This window comes from Homo sapiens, chromosome 2 (genome assembly GCF_000001405.40).
Source record: "Homo sapiens chromosome 2, GRCh38.p14 Primary Assembly".
Classification (NCBI taxonomy): domain Eukaryota; kingdom Metazoa; phylum Chordata; class Mammalia; order Primates; family Hominidae; genus Homo; species Homo sapiens.
In genome coordinates, this window is record NC_000002.12 from 102963636 (window position 1) to 102986319 (window position 22684).

General features: G+C 39.8%; 1 long non-coding RNA gene across 1 annotated transcript; it reads right to left on the reverse strand.

Annotated features, from left to right (window-relative positions):
• Positions 1–3772: 3772 nt before the first annotated feature.
• Positions 3773–20794, reverse strand: LINC01935 (long intergenic non-protein coding RNA 1935). The gene is made up of 4 exons (NR_135530.1): positions 20721–20794; positions 7206–7352; positions 5302–5419; positions 3773–3870 (listed from the first exon to the last, which is right to left on the reverse strand). It is a non-coding gene; the product is annotated as a long intergenic non-protein coding RNA 1935 (long non-coding RNA).
• Positions 20795–22684: the final 1890 nt, after the last annotated feature.

Below are 22684 nucleotides of genomic sequence, written 5' to 3' on the forward strand. Positions count from 1 at the left end.
GGTCTTCAGAAACCTGCCCTTAACTTGGAATTCACACAAAAATAGAGCAGAAGAAGTTTCTTTAAATTTTTTCATCAATTTTAAACTTGAAGAAAACCGAGTAACTCACCAGTATTGTTACTTCTTTCATTTTTATTATTAGTTAAATTTCAAAACCTGTATCTTAATATACATAACATATGCTGTGCAATAAATTAATTCGTGATTAAATCCTCATATTTTACATTTGTTGCCTTGTATATAAAATGACCTTTGAAATAGTAATGTAGCACTAATTATGTTTTTCACTTGATGTAAAGTGCTTATAAACTACCTCACATAACTACAAATTAAACTACAGAGTAATACTTTGTATGTTGAATTCTTCTTTCCAAAAGCTCAGGGACCTTTAGAGAAATAATTTTATTAATCTTCACACATCTCTGAGATGAGATGGTTGGTTTTAATTATCCTTCCTTCTGCATTTGGGAAAGCTGTACGGATGGCATTTATCACTGAAGTATATAGGCACGGTACCAAGAATGCTATGTTAATACAGAGTAGCATAAAGCCTGGAAAACCATCTCTTTCATCAAATATACATTATTGTTGAACATTTCAGAAGTTCCAAGCCGGTAGGAAATGAGCTGCCTTCTGTTCTGTTCAGGGGTACCAAACACCTCACTTTATCTGTTCAATATTATAATATAGTGATCAGATCTCCAGGGACGTTAAGTCAGGGAATTTAGTACAGGACTTAAAAAATGTATGTACCTTCTGCATCTCTTCTCCTGGGTCCTCAGATCTGCCTTATTTTTACTTATGCTCAAATTAATATCACATCCATCTCTTTGTTCTAATTATAAATTTAAATTTAGGGCAACACAGACTACATAACCAACCTCTTCATTATTTTTCCATGAGCCTTGGTTCAGGAATGGAAAAAAAAACATAAATGCATATTAAAGAGAAGTTCCATTAGATAAATTAATAAAGGGATAACCCATCAGAGCAGACACTGCAAAGGTATTTTTATGTTTTTCTTCCCCCAAGGATTACACTAAATATTTCCAAGGAGTACACATATTTCCATTATATTTTCACTTCTTTTGAAGGTGTAGTCAGAGGTACAAAATAGCAAGACGAGAAATGAAACAGTTTGGGAACAGGTTGAATGGAGGTGGAATACTATAGGAAGTTTTTTTTTCTTTTCTTTTTTTTTTTTTTTTTTTTGAGACGGAGTCTTGCTCTGTCGCCCAGGGTGGAGTGCAGTGGCACGATCTCGGCTCACTGCAAGCTCCGCCTCCCAGGTTCATGCCATTCTCCTGCCTCAGCCTCCCGAGTAGCTGGGACTACAGGCGCCTGCCACCATGCCCAGCTAATTTTTCTTTTGTATTGTTTTTAGTAGAGACGGGGTTTCACCGTATTAGCCAGGATGGTCTTGATCTCCTGACCTCGTGATCTGCCTCCCTCGGCCTTCCAAAGTGCTGGGATTACAGGCATGAGCCACCGCGCCCAGCCAGGAATTTTTAAATTCTTCATATAGTGCACTAAGCCTATGAGAGCTGACAATTTATGGCATTTCCAAAGACACAGGCATGAATCTACTTAAAATAAAGCCTAACCCATGGGTTGACTTTAGCAACTGAGGAATAGAGAGAAGAGCACATAGTAGAATGAATTGGCTCACAAGAATTATTAGTAATGTTCACGTAAAGGCATGCAGAAGCTGTGCCTTACACACATGCATATACTTCATACAAACAAAAAGGCCAAATATATTGAAATATAATGTGCAGAAATAAAGGTATGTAGCTAAACATATCAATAAACAGTATTATTATCAAACATAGTAAAAGAGAGAAAATAAACCAAAGGTAGTCCACTGTTTTAAATGTAATTTTCCTAAATTAACATTGTTCGTGGAATTACATAGGGATCTATTTTAAAGAGATTTGTTAATATTTGAATATGAAAGAGTTAAGTGAATGCTTCACTTTTCTCTCAAGTTCTTCATTTTGCACTTTTTTCATTAGTAGCAGAGCACGAAGATAATGACGAACTAAGAGAATTCTGAATGAAGGTCTGAAATTTCAAGTTCTCAGCAACCTTTCCTGAGGTATGTCTTCCCCAAAGTTTGGTTGCTTTGACAGAGTCAGTGACACACACTTCTCTTCGATGACACTCCAGGACAAAGTGAGCAGCCTGTGGGCTAGGACTAGTCTGAAGAAATGAAAACAGGAGACAACTAAGCCATGGGTGGAGAAACCCAGTGAAAACAATCGTAAGTTATCACCAAGCTGAGGAAGGATGTTAAGACTTTGAGCTCATTCCAGCAACAATTCCCAAACTTAGTGTCTGGAAGCATTAAACATTTGTGATGTCTTAGTGGGTTAGGAATCTGGGAGCAGATTAGCTGGGTGCTTCTGGTTTAGGGTCTCTTAAGAGTTTGCAAGCAAAGGTGTTGGCTGGGGCTACACCTTTGGAGGATGCTCTTCTAAGCCCACTCACAAAGCTGCTAGAAGACCTCAAGGGCACTTACGTGGACCTCTCCACAAGGTTGATTCACAGCATGGCAACTGTTTCCTTCCAGAGCAAGTGACCCAAGAGAGAGCAGAACACAGCACCCAAGATAAAAGCCACTTTTTCTCTAGAGCCTCATCTTAAAAATGACTTCCCACCACCTCTGTCATATTCTATTTGTTAGACATTAATTAACATGTACAGCTGGCCCTCGAAGGGAGGAAATGGCACAAGAGTGTGAGTAGCACTGAGGTAGGTAGATTACTGGGGCCATTGTAGGTGCTACCTACCACAAGGACACTGTTGTTACTTTTGTATATTTTATGTCTGGTAACTCAAAATTTTCAGAGACCTCAAGGTACATGCTTTAAATTCAATCTGCACAGCAACTCTTTGAGGTCATCAGAGTGGTTCTTGGAGCTGGGTCATTTTGTATTCAAGCAAAATGGGACTCAGTGAGATTAAGTAACCTGCTTAATCACAACCAGTAGAAAATAAAAGTAGATTCAGGTTTTCTAACTCCAAGTTTTCCCATATTTTGAAGTTAAAGTTGATGCCATCCCATGAGATATTTTCAATCTAATGGGAAAAAAATGTGAAAATGAAGTGCTAAGTTGATTGTAGCTCAGGACTGGGGGGACAGGAGGTGGGGTGGAAAAAAGGATACAAGAGCTGGATGTGGAGGTTAGTGATTTATTTATTTTGAGTAAATCAGAAGGGAAAATCATTTTAAGTCTATCCTTAGAGATTTTACACAACAGGATGGAAATGTCAGAATTATGTCTTTAATACAATTAGATAATTTGGGGATATATAATGGAGAATGGCTTATACCAAGTAGCTAATCAGATACTTGTGGCATGATGAATTATGGTTTTGGAATTTTGTTTTGCAATCACACTTGTATGATGTTGTATTAATATTATGGATTTTGAATTGAATAATGGAGTTCAAATTGCAGTTGGGGACTCACAAGTGTCCTTTTCATTCTGTGTTTATAAATGATTGTTGCCTAAATAGCATACATCTTGTGGTGTCCTTTTGAAGTACCAAAGAATAGGGGCCTCTCTGAGTAGGGAAAACCACCATGATGCTTTGTGATATGAGGTTAGATGAGAGTTTCCCTGCCTTGGCACTAGCGACATTTTTGGCTGGATAACTATTTGTTGTGGGTGCTGTCCCATACATCATAAGATACTTGGCAGCCTCCCTGGCCTCTACTTATTAGATGCTAGTAACACCCCTGCACACACACACACACACACACACGTTTCAATGTATGTTGTTATTTTATTGCTGTGAATTTGCCACATGCCATCCTGCTGAGAATACTGGGCTTTATGTCAGTCTTAACTTCATTCATTACTCCTGCAATAAAGGAAGGGATATAGGTTAGATGTTGGAAAGTACTGTAAAAGCTGTGACCATTTGTAACCTCAAATGACTGCAGATGAGTCCTTCGGTCCAGACCTGCGGTTTGCTGGTTAGCTAGGCAATAACTGGAAGCGACAGGAGAACGATGCCAGCAGATGACTAATTATATGTGCATGTTTTGGATTTGGGCAGCATTTTATGAGAGGGAGGGCTCTTAGGAGGCCTATAATTAGGTTTCTTTTCTTGTTGCTAAAACTGATTCTGGAGAATGTGGCTTGGTGTGCAGCAAAGTGGGCTTTCTATTACTGAACTCTACTAATGACAGTCTCACCCACCCAGGACCCGGCAGCGTAGGATGCTGCTGGGGGTCAGTCCTATAAAACGATTGGCAAGGGAGAGCCAAGGAGAATGACTGCTTCCTGTGGGGAGTTACAAGAAAGGAGAGCGAGCTGGTAGAAAGTAGAGGGATGGGGAAGAAGCATTTCCTTTAATGCTTATCAACATTGTTATTCTCCTTCATGGAGATTTATTCTAACAATGTCATTTCCAAAATAAATTATATTTTCTTTCAGAGAGGTCCAAGAGTCAATCTCACGGGATTCCTCTAAAAAGTATAAGAGCAGTAGTAACCTGGGATCATGGTTCTGTGAGATGAATCAGGGTCCTGGAGTCCTCTGGTGAGAAATAAAGTAAATGGGTAATTAAACAGGCCTTTCATCTAAATCGGATTAATTGCCCAATGCAATTGGATTCTAGATGATTATAAGTGAAATGTGCACTTCTAAGAAATGGTCCTAAGGACATCAGTCCCAATAATATTACAACATTGGGAAAATATGATTTTTTTCAAGATAAAATAATTTGCTGCCCTCCCTTCCAGGAAAAACAAATGATGAGGATATCCGTGTAAACAAAAGTATGACATTCCCTGTGTGAAGCTGGAGGGACACAGTTAAAGGAAGAACTCGCGATTTGGGTCATAGAACATTCCTTTGAACAAAAAAGAACGTTGATCAACACACATGCCCCAGACTTGGAACAAAGTGAATTATTGAAACCAGGGGCAGATGTAGACCAGATAAAACACACCAGGCACCAACATGGAAGCAACATGAACTCTGCTCTGTAGCAGATGATACATCAAACTCAGAGCCGCTTTTTCAACCCAGTATGGCTCACGTATTTAAAGAGGGAATGATTAGGAATGAAATTTGCACTTGAATATATGTGGTCCTTATTAATCTTGGTCAAATCTGGGGAGCAAATCTTTTTCCAAATCCATTGAGCTAAAATCTAGGCAGCAAAATTTCTTCCATTTTCACAATTTCCTCCTCTTCCACCCCCCTACACATATGAGATACAGTGAAGTGACAGAATACAGGTAACCAAACAGACTCAAACATTCCATCTAGAAAATGGAATTACCTGAATGTGATTAAATTGTACAAAGTCTTAAATGTTACAATGAGTGTTCACCAGCCTCCTGAAATATATCAGGGCATAGTTCATAAATACAATGGTGGCCTTCTTCTTTTATGGTGGCCTACAAAAAAGAACATAGAAAAATGAATCACCTCTAAATATTTTGAAAACTGATTTGAAATCACCCGAAGAGTGAGCAAAAAGGAAGTAAGTACAAGGCCAAAAACAGCATAAAGAATTGAAAAGGGATGAAATTGTAGGAGTGAGGCAAGGAACTTCAGTTACAAACCAAAATACAGGGACAGTTGGAACAAATTGATCCTCTTTTCATTTAGAGAGGGATAGAGAAGTGTAGCAACCTAGTTGGAAGCTCACCATTCTGAGTTCCTGAGCAATGCCAGTCACCAGTGCTTTGGGAGGGCCAAAATTCTGTCTACAATCTGATCTTGGGTGTGTTAGGAATTCACAATTTATCCACAGAGGCTGGAGTGCAAGATTTCAACCTGTGCAAGTGTGTGAGAATGTGTGTGTGTGCACACGTATGTATACACACGTATGTGTGCATGTATATGTGCGTGTGTGTGGATATGATAGATTTTATGCATGTAACTTCTTACTCTAGAGTGACTCAGAGCATCATTTTCTGTATCAATCTTCTTTCTTACGTGTCTAATATATTCATTTTGGAATTAGCATTTGAAAAATATTTTATATACCAGGGATGTACTTTTTTGTAACCAGATTCATCAAATTCTGTTCCCAAATTTCCTATGAGAAAGCTTATAGGGGTCATGGAGGAATGAGACAAAGACTGAGCTGTGCTGATTCCCAGACCTTTGTGAACACTGTAAATTCAGACCAGTTTAATTATCAGCCAATTGGTTATTCTATCATTGCAATGAAGCATTTCTTTCTTATTCACTGAGCTAATACAACATTTCCCCCTTGTTGCTGTCTATGGTCCAGCCACAAATAACTAGATGGCACTATCACCCTAATTTACTTATAGGCAGAGTGATTTTTGCCAAAGAAGGTATTGCAAAAATTTCTGCTTTTGCTCCAAAATCTACCCTAATGATTTACAGATGATCTCTCATTTTGAGTTAGTTAAAATTGTTACCCATCTGAGTTTACTCGTGGCTTCAGGTTAAATCAAAGTTCCTTGAAAAAAGTGAAAACATTTTTAAAATTCCCATATTTCTAAATTTTGTTAAATGCCAACATGAGTTACTGAGGCCCCACTGTAAACAGCCAACATCTGGGATAACGTCAGGTAATCTGGAAAGGTCAAAACCCCCGAAATTTAATAAGAGGAATCTATACATTGGTATGTGTTCTCCTGCATTAGAACTCACTTTGACTTGACTTGTTAGCACGGGACGTTAAACATCTAGGGGAGGATAGAGAGGACAATGGAAGCCTTTCTCAATATAGATTGAAATCTTCCACAAGAAAGCTTGGCATGGGCTGACATTTGACTGACTTATATTTTTTAAGAACCAAAACAGAAGGAATCACTGCACCTCCATTTCACTACTTTTGCCACGGATGATGAAGATGAGGAAGAGGATGAAGAGGGTGATAGTGAAGGTGTAAGCTGTTACCTAAATGTATGCTCCATTAACTGTCAATTCACGACTTCTGTCTGTTGTGTTATGATTAATTGCCTGGCTTGGGTTAGCAGTAGGCTATCTCAAATGACTCCTCATGAATTCCAGGATTCCTTCTTATGAAATGTGATAAAATACCTTTAGCTAAGTTTCCTTCTTTTCCTTCAGAAAATACATGAAATCATAGATTGCAGCTTACCCACACACAAATAAAACTGGGGATAGAATCTGCTGATCAAAATCACACTAGAAACCTAGGTTGTATTACTCCAGAAAGCCCATGACCCCATTACTTACTTTCTCACTTGGAAAGAATTCCTGTGAAAGATGATCGGGAGGTATTTTCACAAATGCTGCATTTGATACACAATGATGGAATGATCTTCATTTAGCAACAGGAAAGGGACTGGAGAAAACTGGAAATTCATACTTAGCATTTTCTTCCTGGCCCAACAACAAAAACATCAATGTCTGTGTGTTGGATCTATACATAGGATCAACACCCTGGGCACGTCTGACTGCCTGTTACATTTATAATTTGCTTTACTTTTAAAACATTTTCTCCGTAGCAACATAGTATTCTGTGAGGTTGGCTTTCATGCGATTTCCATTTTGGAGCTGCCGGACTCTGGCTCCGAGAGTTTGGGGTGCCTGTGAACCACCCAGCTGGTAACGGTGATGTCACGCTTAGAGGCAGGACTAATGCTTAGTGCTTTTCCTCCCCCACAGGACCCCACTCATTGTCCTCTAATACTACAGGTATCTCATTATTGCCTGAAATTGCATCAATCCTTCCCTACACATGGGGGGAATGTCCAGGACAAAATGTAATATTGAAAAACATAAGACATGGGCCTGAGATTCATGAGCTAGAAGAGCACTTAAGCTTTTGCACTCTGCCTCCCTTCTAGGCTTTGTATGTTTTCAAGAGAATTCTCAGGAAGCATTTCTTTATGATTATTCAGTTAATGTTGATCTCTCAATCAAAAGGTAAATGGTACTCCCTGCAAGATCACATTTATGATTATAGCAAGAAAATGTGTGAGGAAATGTGCAATTTGAATTTACCTTTAGCCTAAAATACGTAGAATGTATGAAGTCTGAATTTCAAGATACATGGGGTATAGCACTACAAACTACAATCCACTGGACATGACCTCCAATGAACTTTGGAGATTTTGGAAGCAGTCAAAAGAACATAAGGGCCACGGGGTTCTACTTTTATTACAGCATTAGGTTGTTTGTTGCTTTTATTTCTCTACTTTGTTTTTCTGTACAGTGCAGTATGAGTCATTGCATTTCTCGTGGGAGAAAAGTCACTGTATTCATCACTTTTTGTCAAGCCGAAGCACAATAATAAAAGAAACATTCAAGGAAAGGAAAGTTTGGACGACTTTTGTCATGCAGCCAATGAGAATTGACAAATAGGGTGATGCGGAATTAAAACTTACGTCTAAAAGAACTATTAATATTCTTAGCTCCTCCAAGTCCTATTAACTAGGAAAATTTGGATTTAGAAAAGAAAAAAATAGAATTTAATGTAAACAAGTACTGAATGTATGAAGTCCTTTCCAAACATAATAGTCCCACAAATTGAGTAGTATTAGATGAATTATTAGTTGCAGGATATGTAGGGGAAATAGGTGAACTAGCTTAAATGGGAGTCTGAAGTAGAAGGTGATAAGATTAGTAGAGTCAGTTTTTTATGAATGTTCTTAGAAGGATTTTTAAATGTTTTTGAGTTCAATTCAACTAAGTGCTTGAGACGAGGGGTTAGGTGGTTTCCCTGGCAGCAGGCAGTGTACCAGTCCTTAGTGTGAAGTGGCACCAACTTGCCAGTTCCCGAAGTGGATCAGGAAATATCTCCACTTGCTCAGTTACAAGCCGAGACAAATGTGTGCTGTTAGTTCAGGTGCTCCTTATTAAGATTTATGAACGGCCGGGCGCGGTGGCTCACACCTGTAATCCCAGCACTTTGGGAGGCGAGGCGGGTGGATCATGAGGTCAGGAGATCGAGACCATCCTGGCTAACAAGGTGAAACCCCGTCTCTACTAAAAATACAAAAAAAAAAAATAGCCGGGCGCGGTGGCGGGCGCCTGTAGTCCCAGCTACTCGGGAGGCTGAGGCAGGAGAATGGCGTGAACCCGGGAAGCGGAGCTTGCAGTGAGCCGAGATCGCACCACTGCACTCCAGCCTGGGCTACAGAGCGAGACTCTGTCTAAAAAAAAAAAAAAAAAAAAAAAAAAAAAACATTTATGAACAAGTGCCTGCATTCTGTGGTGCCCCCAAGAGCGAAGAAATGACTGAAGGATCCTCATGGCATACCAAGGAGGCCATGCCAAGCTTTTGACCCCTGGAGCAGCATTCCTAGATGAGAATTTCCATCCTTTCCTTCAGCTGGGAGAAGAAAGCTTGAGACATCTGGTTCCTGATAGAATAGGGGATATGAAGAGAAGAAGCAATGAGCTTCCTAACTTCCCTACCTTTGGAAGACACAAGTGCTCTCCTATGTAGCCTGACTTGTTCTTCATCACCCCTATTAAAGCCCTGGGCCAGTGGATCTCAAAATGAAAATGTGGTCCTCCAACAGGCAGCAATACTATCAGCCAGGGACTTTTCTATCTGTGAGAGGGAACTGAAAGCCCTACTCCTTGAACCCAGACCTAGTTCCCACCAAAGCTGACCTTTTAACGCTTGAGCTTTACTGCCCCCTTGCACATGGGAGGCATAATTTCTGTGGCTTCTGTGTGCGTCTACAGTGCATGAAGTGCTGAGGCACAGAATACAGTAGGATTAGGAGGCGACACGAAGGCCTTCAGTTCATGTTGAGTCTCTGATTGCGATCTGGGGGTGGAGCATAGTCTAGTCTATAGAGGAGCTCGAGTCTGCACATCTGCACATTGTACAGGTGAGCCAGATGTGTGTGTCTCCTTACCAAGAGAGCCCCCTTCCAGCTAGGTACACATTGTGAGTCAGCCCAGGAGAAGGAATGAGGCTTTCAAATGCCACGGGCAGGCAGGTCAATCAGAAAGCACCTTAAGAGCAGCTCTCTGCATTGCAATGAAGAGATCAAGCAGTGGAAAAGGAAGGAAAATAAGATGGGGTTTCTGTTTTGAAATTGCATCTTAGACCAAGAATCATACTGCTCTTGTGGCTGAGGCACTACAGGTTAAATGATTTGCCCAAGGTCATATAGAAAGTCAATGGCAAGAATAGGCTCAACTCAGAATCCTGAAAGTCATAGTTTTTAAAAAGCAGCCCACAGTGGTTCAATTTCTTGAACAATTCCTGCATGTGAATTTGGCTGCTTGCATGCCCTGCCCTGGAAGATGTATTCTCATTGTGTGTTCACCCACGAACTCAGTATATAGGAAGTTGCCTCTTAGATGTGGGGTATTTTTGAACTGCACAGTTAAGAATTTTCCCAAGTCCATATCCATAAGGTGATCAGATTGTTGTAAGATGCTGCTTTAGTCTGTTTTGTGTCTCCATAACAGAATACCACAGACTGGGTAATTTGTAAAGAAAATAAATTTATTTCTCACAGTTCTGAGGTTGGGAAGTCCAATATCAAGGTGCTGGCATCTGGTGAAGACCTCTGTGCTGTGTCAGCCCGTGGTGGCAGGCTGATGGGCCAGTGAGTGTGAGAGAGCAAGATATGATACTCACAGCCTCCAGCCCTATTATAATGGGCATTAATCCATTCATGAAGGTGGAGCCCTCATGACCTAAACACCTCCCGTTAGGGTCCACCTCCCAACACTGTTGCATTTGGGATTAAGTTTCCAACACATGCTTTCTGGGGGACACATTCAAACCAGAGCAGATGCTGTTCTCTCATCTCTCAGGATTTGCTCTCACTTGGGCCATATGTTAAGGAAGCAACAGTTTAAAAAGAGAGCCCTCCTTCCCCCACCCACTCATACTTTCCCATCCTCACTTGGCCAGTAAAGAATAGCATAGCCTCTTATGTAGCCTCTTCAGTGTACAAGAAAGTTCCTCATAAAGGGCTGAAGAACTGAGCTGATTAGGTGAAAGGTGTTCAGGCAAATCGTCAGGAATTGTGTCCTTGCTTTCTGGAAACTGAAAGGGGCAGTGGGCAAGCCTTGATGAAAAGCTGCTGTGTTGAGTCTCATACGTCCACGTCCACCTGCAGGTCTGCCTAGGGGCAGCAGGCCTCTGAAAAACGATTGCTTAAGCTGCCCTGATTTCTGGGGTCCAAAAGTCTATGTCATTGCAAAGAGTCTGGATGGATTTCAAAAAGAAAGTACGTTCCACTTTATTTAGGATGGCTCTTTCAGCGTGGGTGTCTTTGCTGCTTCCGGCTGCATAAATTATTATTATAATGACATTCCCCCTGACCCAAACCCCTTGGTCTTGGCTCTGTGCACATGTGTAAATCTAACAAATGTCTGTACAGCTCTAATCGTCCTTTCCTCGTACTTACAGAGGATAGCATTTCTAAGTGGCTTTATTTTACATTATCCTCAGTGTTTTGTCAAAGAAGCAAAGGAGTCAAACGTGCCTGTGTTGAGTTGGAGACCTACGAACCCTCTGTGGTCCGGCTTCTATTTCTGAATAGACAGGGTCGTCGATAGGTGGACTTCATCTTTGAATATAATTGTGTGGGTTTTTTAAAATCTGTCTCTAATAAATATATAATCATAGAAAGTGTATTACTCAGGCAATTATTTAAATAGATTTACATCATAACATGTTTCTGGTGTTTCTAGCCTGTTTAACATTCAGAGTGATATGGACTATAAAATTATTTAAATCTAATGATTTGTTGTTTCAAAAAGTTGCTGTTGTTAGGTTGATAATGTCTCCTGAAAGAAAATAACAAATGAAACATTTCTCTTCCCTCCCTCTTTCCCCCATTAGTTAAAGCTAAGTTTTGTTAGGAGCTTTTAAAGATTGTTCTAAATAGATTTCAAATTCTGTTATTTCTTCCTCACCATTGGCATGGATTACAAACCTATCATCCTTGTCACTATAATTAACAGTGCTCACATTTATTAATTGACTATGGTTTTTAGTTTCCAACCCCACCCACACCCCTAAAACCTGCCTTGACAGGCTTTATGACTTAAAACATACACAAAGCTATATTCAGGATTTGTAGGCTAACAAATATTATAGAGACATGATATAAGTGAAATTAACATGGGAATTTTACCTTTGAAGAAGAAAAGACAACAATGCTTTAAAGGGCATATGCAGGCCTAAATAGCTTCTCTCTTCAAAAGGGTCAATGCTGTTTAGACTTTTCCACAACCATTTTATTGGCACATTTTTAAAATACAGGAGAAGAACCACATTGCCTGCATAATGATGGATGCTGAATTCAACCTCAGAGGAAAGTCAAGCTCTTCCTGGGAGGGTTGAATCAGGCTTCCTTGCTCTGTCTTTTCGTTTGCATTATTCAGTGGAAAAATACAAAGTGGCATAATGATGGGAATAAGTTATCTTTTATCAAATCTGACTTTAAAATTCAGGTTATGTAAAACACAGAAACGCATAGGAAATTCAATCAGAACCTCCAGTCACATTGTGTACTCTCTGTTCTTGGGCAACTGAACACTCCGCTGAGTCCATGCCTGGGAGCAAGTCTCAGATTCGCCCTTCCTGGCTAGAACACCTTTTGCCAGCAACTTCCACCAGGGGAAGCTCTGAGCACACCAGTGCTTCACAGGCAAACTGCGAAATTCAGGCAAGACAGGGCAAAGAAGGCAGCAGGGGAAGCTAACAAAAAGTCCTGAAATCGCTTTTGTAGAAACTAATGAGACTGGGTTTCTTTAGGATTATTACACTGTGATTTAACTACCAGTAGGGAATGTAGAGTGGAGTAAAGATGGAAACAGTATTTGGAACTAAAATCTTCCAGAACCTAACTTCTTTAATGGAGAAAACCCACTTGCTGTTTAAGAAGTGTAGTCCTTCAAGGAGCTGAAATCACTGTTTTGCTTCTTAATCCCTCATCTATAGGTTATTGAAAGCTACTCTCATTCATTCTAGTTCACCTTGGTTTTACACACACGCACACACACATACACACACACACTCCCATAAATGATAAATTCGATGTCTGTAGAAAGACAGTCACCTAATTGCACAGTGAAGCAGAAGAAAGCCTTGCAAATGGTATACAATTTTCAAAGTGTTCCAAGCCTTAGGCAAAAGCCTTTCAACTGTGTCTAAAACTGAATGATAAAATATGTTGTACAAATTATCTGTGAACAGGAAACATGTGGTAGTGGCAGAGGACTGAAATGTAACACTTGTAAAGAAATGGGAACTGCCAGTCATTTAGACCCTTTCTTTCTTTCTTTTTTCTTTTTCTTTTTTTTTTAAGTTGCAAGTTTCATCATTTTTTTTTTTACCCTCCGTTGATGTTCAAGTTTATAATAAGACACTTATCAGATTACACCGGGCCAATTGCAGCTTTATTTTAGAAACAACAACAAAAACCAAACAGATGAGGCTAAAGATTTGGTGTTGCCCATCCCCTCCCCCTTTGAGGGACTCCTTAAAAATTTCTCTGCTCTGTTGTTTCAGGAGCCCTGGTGATTTGTGTGTGGAATTTTTAAAAGGATGGAAAATCTCCTGAAATAGGAAGCATGCAAAGCTCAGGTGATTGCAAGTTGCATAAATGTTTCTCCATCCTTTATTTTCACAAAGGCGAAGGTGCTGGTTAATCTTCACTAAAGGGCAGAAGGGGTTCCACTGGGATGCTATCTGCTGTCTCCTCACACTCTGTGTTACTCTTGGAATGTCGTGTCAGAGTTTTTCTCTTTCCAAGATGCATCCATTCTTTCTCAGTGAAACCAGTCAAGATTGCCTATGATCCCTATTGAGGGAATTTGTGATTAACCCCTACTATGTATCACCTAGTCTCCTCAATCCTTGATGAACTCACACAAACTATATATATATTTCAAGCCGTATGCAGCTCTCTGAGGAAAGTTAAAGTGTTAGTAAATTTCATATTTAGAGAAAAAGGAAAAGAGAGAGAAGTCTGTTCTGCTACATTTGTTTTCTATCAGGAAGTTACTCAGCTTTCATCTCAGTGCTCAGTGGCACCCTTATTTTAGCTTGTCTTTTATCACATGACTGCTTGATGACCTTTAAATTAGCATGCTTACTATTCTGCCTGGTATACAGATCCGCCTTCTTATTACTGGGGCTGACCCTGGATGAAATGCCTTGGGATAGTCATCAAAAATGAAAGAGGAGAAAACAGTTTAATTTGCAGCCCAAACTCCATCACCAGCAAAAACAGTTAGTTGAAACAGTCTCCTCCTAGTGAACAAGCATGGGCATTAGACTGGCATAGTCTGCACAGTCAAATACATACCCCCCCATTCCTGGAGCTAGACATTACATCATCCTGCTCTGACATTGCAAATTGTTTCCTTCCTTCCTTCCCTCCCTCCCTCCCTCCCTCCCTCCCTCCTTTCCTTCCTTCCCTCCCTCCCTCCCTTACTCTTTCCCTTTATTCCTTCTCATCTTCCTCTTTTCTTTTAATTGCACAAATTATTCAACACTTCTTTTGTGTCAGTCACAGAAAGAAGCTGTGGTTTTGATGGTGAATACGGTATGGTCTATCTCAGGAGTTCTTGGTGTGGCGGGAAAACTGGAACAAATTCATAGAAGGAATCACAGCACCAGACTTCTCTCTCCCAATATGCCAGAGTGTGTGTCTTGCACTCTTCAAGACACAGTTATCACATTTTGGTGTTCTTGCAGTATTGCTTTGGAATGCCAATCTTTCCATCCAATTTCCCTGCATTTCAGCACGTTGCTCAGAGGGCATATGGTTCTCCTTCTTACCCTCTGTCTCATACAATCATTCCTACCTTTATAGCTTCCTAGTCTATTTTTTAAATCCTATTCTGCAATGTCTCCTTTTCCCTTTTAATTTAGCAAAGCTCCTCCACTTCTTGTAAGTTCATATTATGTAGGCATTTTTAATGAAACCTCTGCTAATACTGGTTGTTTCTCATTTAGAGTATTTACACATTTTGGTATACATTAGATATGTTTTTTTTTCTCTTCCACTGATCCTGTATCATTTCTCTTTTTACCACAAACAAGACTGAGAGCAAGAATTACATCATACACTACTTTTTTAAATAAACTCAATAGCATCTAATGATAATAGCAAACATCGGTTGAGTACTTACTGTCCCATAGGCAATGTGCTAAGCTCTTTCCACCTGTTATGCCATTTCATACTGATGATAATCTTATGATTTAGAGTATTACTACTTTCTACATTTTTTTTGGCAAGGAAATTGAAGAAGAGATTTTTAAAGCTAGCTTGTTAAACTGGCAAAGTAAATTTTAACCTACAGATCTTGGCTCCAGAGTCCATGCTCTCTTATGCCGAGCATCTAGGGAGTTTTCAATAAACATCTGCTCAAGTGAATTGAATGGGAGACAATTTGCAAATCTGAGAACAATTGAGAAGCCTGTTACAAGAATGCCTAGGGTGAATGAAGGGGATAGATAGTGAGTACATTTTTTTGCCATATGAATGGGTTTTGAGGTTCGGATGTATTTAACCTTCACCCATTACAGGGCATATTTTGCCACGCGGGCATGTGGAGGAATCTGGGAAAAGTGAAATACAGAAGGTAGGCAAATGGGCTTCATTATGGTTCTCTGGCTCAAAAAACAGCCAAGAAATGTAATAGAGGAGTTAGCCCATTTTTGTTGCAATGCATTTTTAAATGTATTTAAGAAATTTCCGGTGCTTCACAAATTCTGTTAACTTGTTGCTTAGATGTTTCCTACTGATGTCCTTCACTCCTTCCTTCTTTCTCTTCCTCCATCCTTCCTTACTGTGGCCATAGGACTAAATGATAGTTGTGCAATTCTGGGGATTGTACCAAAGTCAGAAACAGGACTTAAACCCCATTGTCACACACAGAATCGTTTTTGTTCGTTTGTTTGTTTTAGTGAAAACACTAAAGTATTACCACTGTTTTCCACAGTCAGATACAGAGAATGCTGTTATCCATGACATCAGAGCATTGGTAAATGGAGCAGGACATTATATAACCCTGCACCTGCAGGCCTGTTTCCATGGGCGAAGCCAAATTTATAACTGTGCCCTTTGTGATCTGATAATCTCAGAGAAAAGAATGACTCTTGAACTTTGCCCAGTGGTCATTCTATAGCTAGTTATATTATATTTTCATCTAGTCTGCATTTTCCTCTCATACATGGCTGTTGATAGCCTGAGGAGAAAGGCAGTAGATGTGTTATGATTAATTCGTAAACTATATAACATGATTACATTGTAAACAAACCCCTTGAAAGGTCCGGGTCCTTGCACCAGCCAAGAACATGTAAAGCCATCTGGTGCATACACCATAGAAGGTTTCCCCTAGTTAGAGGAGATAGTGACTGTTTCTTGCGGACTAGCAGAATGGAAGCAGCCATCCCCCTCTCCACTCCTACTCTGACCATTACTCTTTGGGTAATCAATCAATTTTCCACTGAACTCTCAAAAATCCTTTATTTTGCCACCCACATAGGGATTTACTTGGACTATTTAAGCATTTCTCACTCTGCGCCTTTCATTATCTGTAGTCATTTCTATCTCATGCCTTTAGGCATCTTCAATCCCCAGGCTATTTTCCTCATATCCCAGGCTCTCTGACTTCTCTTTTTAGCTTTTCTACCTTTGTATCCAGCCTAGTCCCTTGGACCACTTCATCTGCATCTCCATATAGCCTTAATGTCCTTGCTGTTCTCCCTTTCCGACTGAATGTACCCCCCACCCGATGCCAGACCAAATCCTCCTAGAGCTGCTGAGCAACTCTGAACAAAAGCACGTACCATTTGTATTCCCACATGCCCCTGGTCCATTCCAAGCCTCTTTGTTTCTCCTTAGACTTATTTTCCTCATCTCCATGCTTATTCCCAGCAGATTCTGAGCTTGTCTCTGGTTCCAGAAGAGAATGCTCAGGCTTGAGTTTTCTCAACCACACACCCACATACCTACCAACGTATTTATGTAGGTTTTCCTCAACTCTTCCCTCAGTAAGTTTCCTCTCCCTCTCTCCTTTGTTCTTTCTTCCCTTCTGTCCTACCTTTCTTTCCATCCTCCTTTTATCTCCAAATAAACAGAGAAAAACTGCTTTCTATTCTCTTCCTCATCTAACTTCCAGCCTAACTCCATCTCTTCTTGAGAGTCAATTTTTGCCTCCTTTCACACTTTTCTCTATCGATTTTCTCTTCTCTTTATAAAGGTTTTTTAACTTCCTCTTTTCTGCTACCCAATTTTTATCAGCATAGAAACATGCTCAAATATCTCCCATCAGTAAAAGTCTTATTCATATTGTACCTTCTTGCAGCCTTTGCCCTATTCCTCTCCTGCCCTTCATAGCCAGCCTGCTTAAGCAAGAAGTTGACACCAGCAGTGGCTACTATCTCACTTCTTTAATCTGCTGAAATCTGCTTTCTATCCTTGCACTCCTCTGGGACTGCTCTTTCTAATGCCAATCATTTCCAGATGCAGGATCCGGGGAACAATTTCCAATCCGCCTGCTCACCTGATAGCTTTGCAATATTTGGCATTGCTAGCTACTGTCCTTTTGAATTTCACAACTCCTCTTTTTGCTTTTAAGACACTAAGGTCCCATGGTTTTCCTTTTTCCTCTCTGATACTCCTTAATTTCCTTTATTGGCTACAGTTTCTCATACCACCACTAAATATTGGGAGTCACAAATACTCCCCTTAAATGTCTTTTCATGCTACACTCTCTCTGTACACCATTTCGTCTGCTTTATACCTTGTAAACAACAAAGTCTCCTGTTTATATCTTCAGGCCTGATTACTCTTCCTACATTAAGACCATGCCATTGACTTCTTACTCTATATTTTCACCTAGACAAACAAAGTTATCTTAATTATGGTATATTCAAACAGAATGCCTCCACTATTCCTTTCTTTGCCACCCACACAGTTGTCTGATCCAAATACAGAGGAACTATCCTAGGTTCCAACTCTTTCTGATACCTGAGAGCAACTTCATTGACAAATCTTATGATTTCCTGAGCTCCCTTGAATATATCTTCTCAGCTTCTCCATGATTGCCCTTGCTTAAATGGTTGCTTCTCACTTAGGGAGTGGCAAATGCCTCTTTTCTAGGCGCATCGCCATTAACCATACCATGAGCCTGCCATTCCTCTCTCCCTCTCACCATGTGTCCTCTGCTTCCTTCTGTTTCCTCCTACTGCATTCCTACTCAAGCATTGCTGTCTTTGGGATGCCTGTCATGACTTACTCAAGTTGTCATTCCTTTCTCTGTGATTTCATATTTCCCCTTATTCTAGTGGAACACTTTTATCACTTTGCATAATAAATACTTATTTACTTCTCCCTCCAAAACTAGACTGTGAGCTCCCGAAAGGCATGATTTTTTTGTTTATTGTTATGATGCAAACCATATTGTCAGCACCTGACTCGGTGCTTGGCACATGTTTTTGATAAATACAAGAAAGAATGAATAGCTTAAAATTTCCAAAGAGATTATACACCTCCTCATAGCTATCTGCCCCCATTGTTTTGCACTTATTTAGTTGGTGAACTGAAAGAGAGTGGGTCACTGCATAGTGGAAAGAACACTGATTAACCTTGAGGAAAACTAGGCTGGTCCTGGTAATTAGGTGTATGACCTTGGGCAAGAAATTGCTTCTCTAGGTTTGTGCTTTCTTATCTCTAAAATCAGAGAACAGGATTAGATGATAAAAAAAGGTACTGCCAGCTCTAAAAATATTATAACCTGAAATGCTTTCTTCTAAAATTCTAAACAAGGTGATTCTTAGTTTTAGATCCTTGGTTAAGATCCCAGAATGTATGCTTAGATTTTCTGTGAACCATGTGAAATTGTGTTCAAGGTTTTATTGTTGTTGTTACTTGCCGTAGAAGAGCCTATGAATTGATAAATAATATCCAGTCTCTTCTACTTTAGTAATAGAACATTTAAAGATTTAATTGATTGCATGGTCACTAAGACAGGTGTATTTTCCAGTCTTCTGTGAAGTTGGATGTGGCAAAGTGACAATGTTTTGAGTAAGCAAGTGACTGAAGGAGTGTGAGCCAAAGTGATGTGGGCATATTTTTTATAACCATGTACCTGTCCTCCATTTCCTATTCCTCTCTTTTCTTGGAATGGAGCATGAATATGATGATGTTGAACAGTTTTGTTTAAGAAATGCAATACTCCAGAAATTGACAGACCATTAAATCAGAGGGAACCTGGGTCCCTGAATGATCTTCTGTAGCTAAAGCTGTACCCCATCATCCCAGACTTTTCTGTAAAAGATAATTAACCCATCTATCTTGTTTTAGCCATGATTATGTTAGTTTCTCATAAAGCCTTGAGCCAATGTTGAACCCAGTATATTTGCATACCTGCATTTTTGGAAAGAGGGCCCATCGATTTCACCAAGTTTGCAAAAGATTCTGTGACCTCATGTGACAGATTAAGGATGGCACAAATTCATTGACAGATCTCCCACTGAGAAGTGAGTTTAGGTTCCTTCCCCTTGAACCTGAATAGATTCTGTGACTGCCTTGACCAATTGAACACAGTGTTAATAAAGTTGTGTCAGTTTCCAGCTCAAAGCCAAAAGAGAATGGTAGCTTCCTCTTCCTGTGTCTTGGAAAACTGGGTTTTGGAACCCCACCACCATGCTGTCAGGAAGCCCAAGCAGTCCATAGAGACATCTATGTGGAGAAGCTTCAAGGTGCTTTTATTATTCTTCTTCTTTAAAACTCACAACAATGCCATGAAGAATATATTAATGTCCTTATTCTACAGATGAGGAAAACTTGGCACAAAGCATTTCAGTAACTAATTTACCCAAGGCTACTATTGGGAAGTGGTAGATTTCACCCTTGAACCCTGCAACCTAACCCTAAGTCTTGCATGTTTCACCGTTATGCTATGCTGCTCAATAAGGTGCTACCATGTATCATAAAAAGTTGTAAAAAATTCAATTAGATTTGTTATTTAACAGTCTTTTTGCCACTGTACTTTAAGTATGGTAAGCTATTCTTCACACGTTTCATTTCTATTTTGTGGATATACATTGAAACTCACATCAAAATTTAAAATATTTAAAAGTATTTTATTGTGATCTACCCAAAAAGCACTGAGAAGTGCAGTTTTACAATTCTGCTAACAATTACCAAGGTCTTATTATTTTTCCCCCTTTCCTCCAAGTATATGTACTTTAAAGTATCTTGGTATTTGAATCATATTCTGCAGCACGCACCTCACATTCCCTATTTCTTAGAGGTGCATGCCTAACACTCCCATCCATAAGTTACCACTGCCTTTTCTGTACAAGAATCCAACTGTTCAATCTCTGCTCATATGCCTTCTTGAGATTCTGTTGGAACATGCCCAAGTATTGCCTGAACATGACCCCTTTGTGTGGATTCATGCACAGTTATATGCACAGCCAATCTGCCAGTCCGGACCGACAGCCTCACACCAAATCCTCCATTTCTCAGCAGGAATCCAGCAAACCAGATGTCAAGTGCATATTTCCTGAGTACTTTATGGGATCCACAGAGAGGTTCTCACAGTATGCTTCAGGCCTCAGTTTAGTGCAACTTGTCAGAATGAATTGTTTCATTTCTCTACCACAAATGCCAGGTTGAGAAGAAATTTTTAAAAGAAAATTCTGCATAAGGGTTTAGGCTTTCATATTCTTAATTAAAATCCCATGGACTTGTGGTTGGGATAAGGTCCTGGGGCTGGGGATGGGGAGTGCAAGAGACTTACTTCTTGAATGAGGTGGAAAGTAGGACAATATCCTCTGTCTCAGCATATTCAACCACAAGATGGGAGAAGAATTCCCTCCATGATCTTGAGGACATCCCCAAAGGGGGCTGAGAAGACTCATGACATTAGGACACAAGGCAGGGTTTCAAGAAGGGGTTCTTTCTCCTTAACCTAGAGAAATACAAACTTTAGCAAAAGGGCATTGGACATATTCTCATTTGTTCTCTGGATTTTTCTGACCTGGTGTTCCTCATTGGACCATACATGGCTATTTGCTTATTTCATAAATGCATGGTGGAATTCTTCTCCCTGAATAATTTGGTATCTACAAGTTAATCTTTCATGCAAAGGACACCTTTAGTGCATAATGGTTATAACTTGGTTTCTGCATCAGACAGAGTTGGGTAAGAACACTGAGTTTGCTACTCCTTAGTGAAGAGTCTTTGGGAAAGTCACAGACTCAGTTTTCACATGTATAGAGTGAGTGGACAGTGTGCATGTCATTCAGTATCATTGCCAGTTAACTGGAAGACTGTGTGTGCCGTGCTTAGCCAAGTCCTTCACAGAGTCAATACTCCATATATATTAGCTGTTATGTGTTGTTAATAATACTGTTGATATTGCAATTCTAGTAATTATTGTTGATTCTTACGCATTACAGCCCTTTCATCAACTATATTGCAAGATAGAGATCTTCTGATGACATGGAAGTTATCCACACATTCTGCTTTCTAAATTAATGGTGCCATATTTATTGTAGGTTCCCAGTTCCCTCTCAATGGAGTTATATGCATTTTCCACCATCACTGACTGTTGTTGTCCTTAACTTTTTAGTTCTTCATCTATTAGCCACAGTCTGACTTCTGCACCCTGTTCCACTTTTGACACTGAGTGACAATCTCATCTAACCTGTACAGATGGTCCCTGACCTTCCATGATTTAGCTTAGAATTTTTCAGTTTATGACCAGTTTGTTGGATTGTAACCCCATTGTATGTCAAGGAGTATCTGCATTTTTGAGCCAAGCTTGAGAAAACACACTATCTCAGTGGGTTCAGAGCCAGCAGCCACTGGCAGGATATTGACCAAGCTGTAGACTGAACATTTACACTTGGGTTATTCTTGGTGCCTACAAAGCCATTGCACAGTGGGCAGTGGTCACTTCTTTGGTTTGCCCTGTTCAAGTCCCTGAGATCCTTACTGTTACTGTATCCTTATCTCAAAATTCAGTTTATGTGGGTCTGGAACTTACTGGACAGTCTCCACCCAGGACACAACCCCTTTTATCCTTCAGACTGATATTCTAGAAGTGTATGACATTCTACAAGCCCACTTGACTGCAGACATCACCTACCCCCTCCTATACATATCCATATCCACTCTATCCTTCCTTTGAAGCTTTTTCACAAACTACTTATCAACTCCAATCTACTCCCCCAGCCTCCCTTAATTATTACAATCATCATTGATATTTTGCTTCTTATTATTTTCCTTAAGTATGCATTATATTTTTCTTTGTTTGAGACTTGACTCCTTTGAAGGTAGAGATCACCTCTGAGATTTCCCTGTATCTTCCACGTGTCAGCCCTGATGCACAATATCTGTTAATAGATAGATTGATTGAGTTACAGAATAAAGAAAGCACTTTCTATCTTTGCATAGCTAAAAATCGTGGAGACTGTCAAAAAGACAGTATGTTAGAGAATGTACATTTCAACTAAAGGAATCCTGACCTTAAAGTATTAAGGCTTTGGTTCAAATATCAGGTCTTTCTCCTACTCATCTGTTAATTTTGGAGTAGAATTTAACCTTTTTATTGTCAGTTTGCTCATTTTAAAAATACAGGTAATATATCTACTTACTTTTATTCTTGAGGACTGAATTCAATAATGTATGTGGAAATGCTTTGGAAAGTATTGTTATTACAGGGAATTTTATCTTTATAAGAAATAATGTCGCCGGACA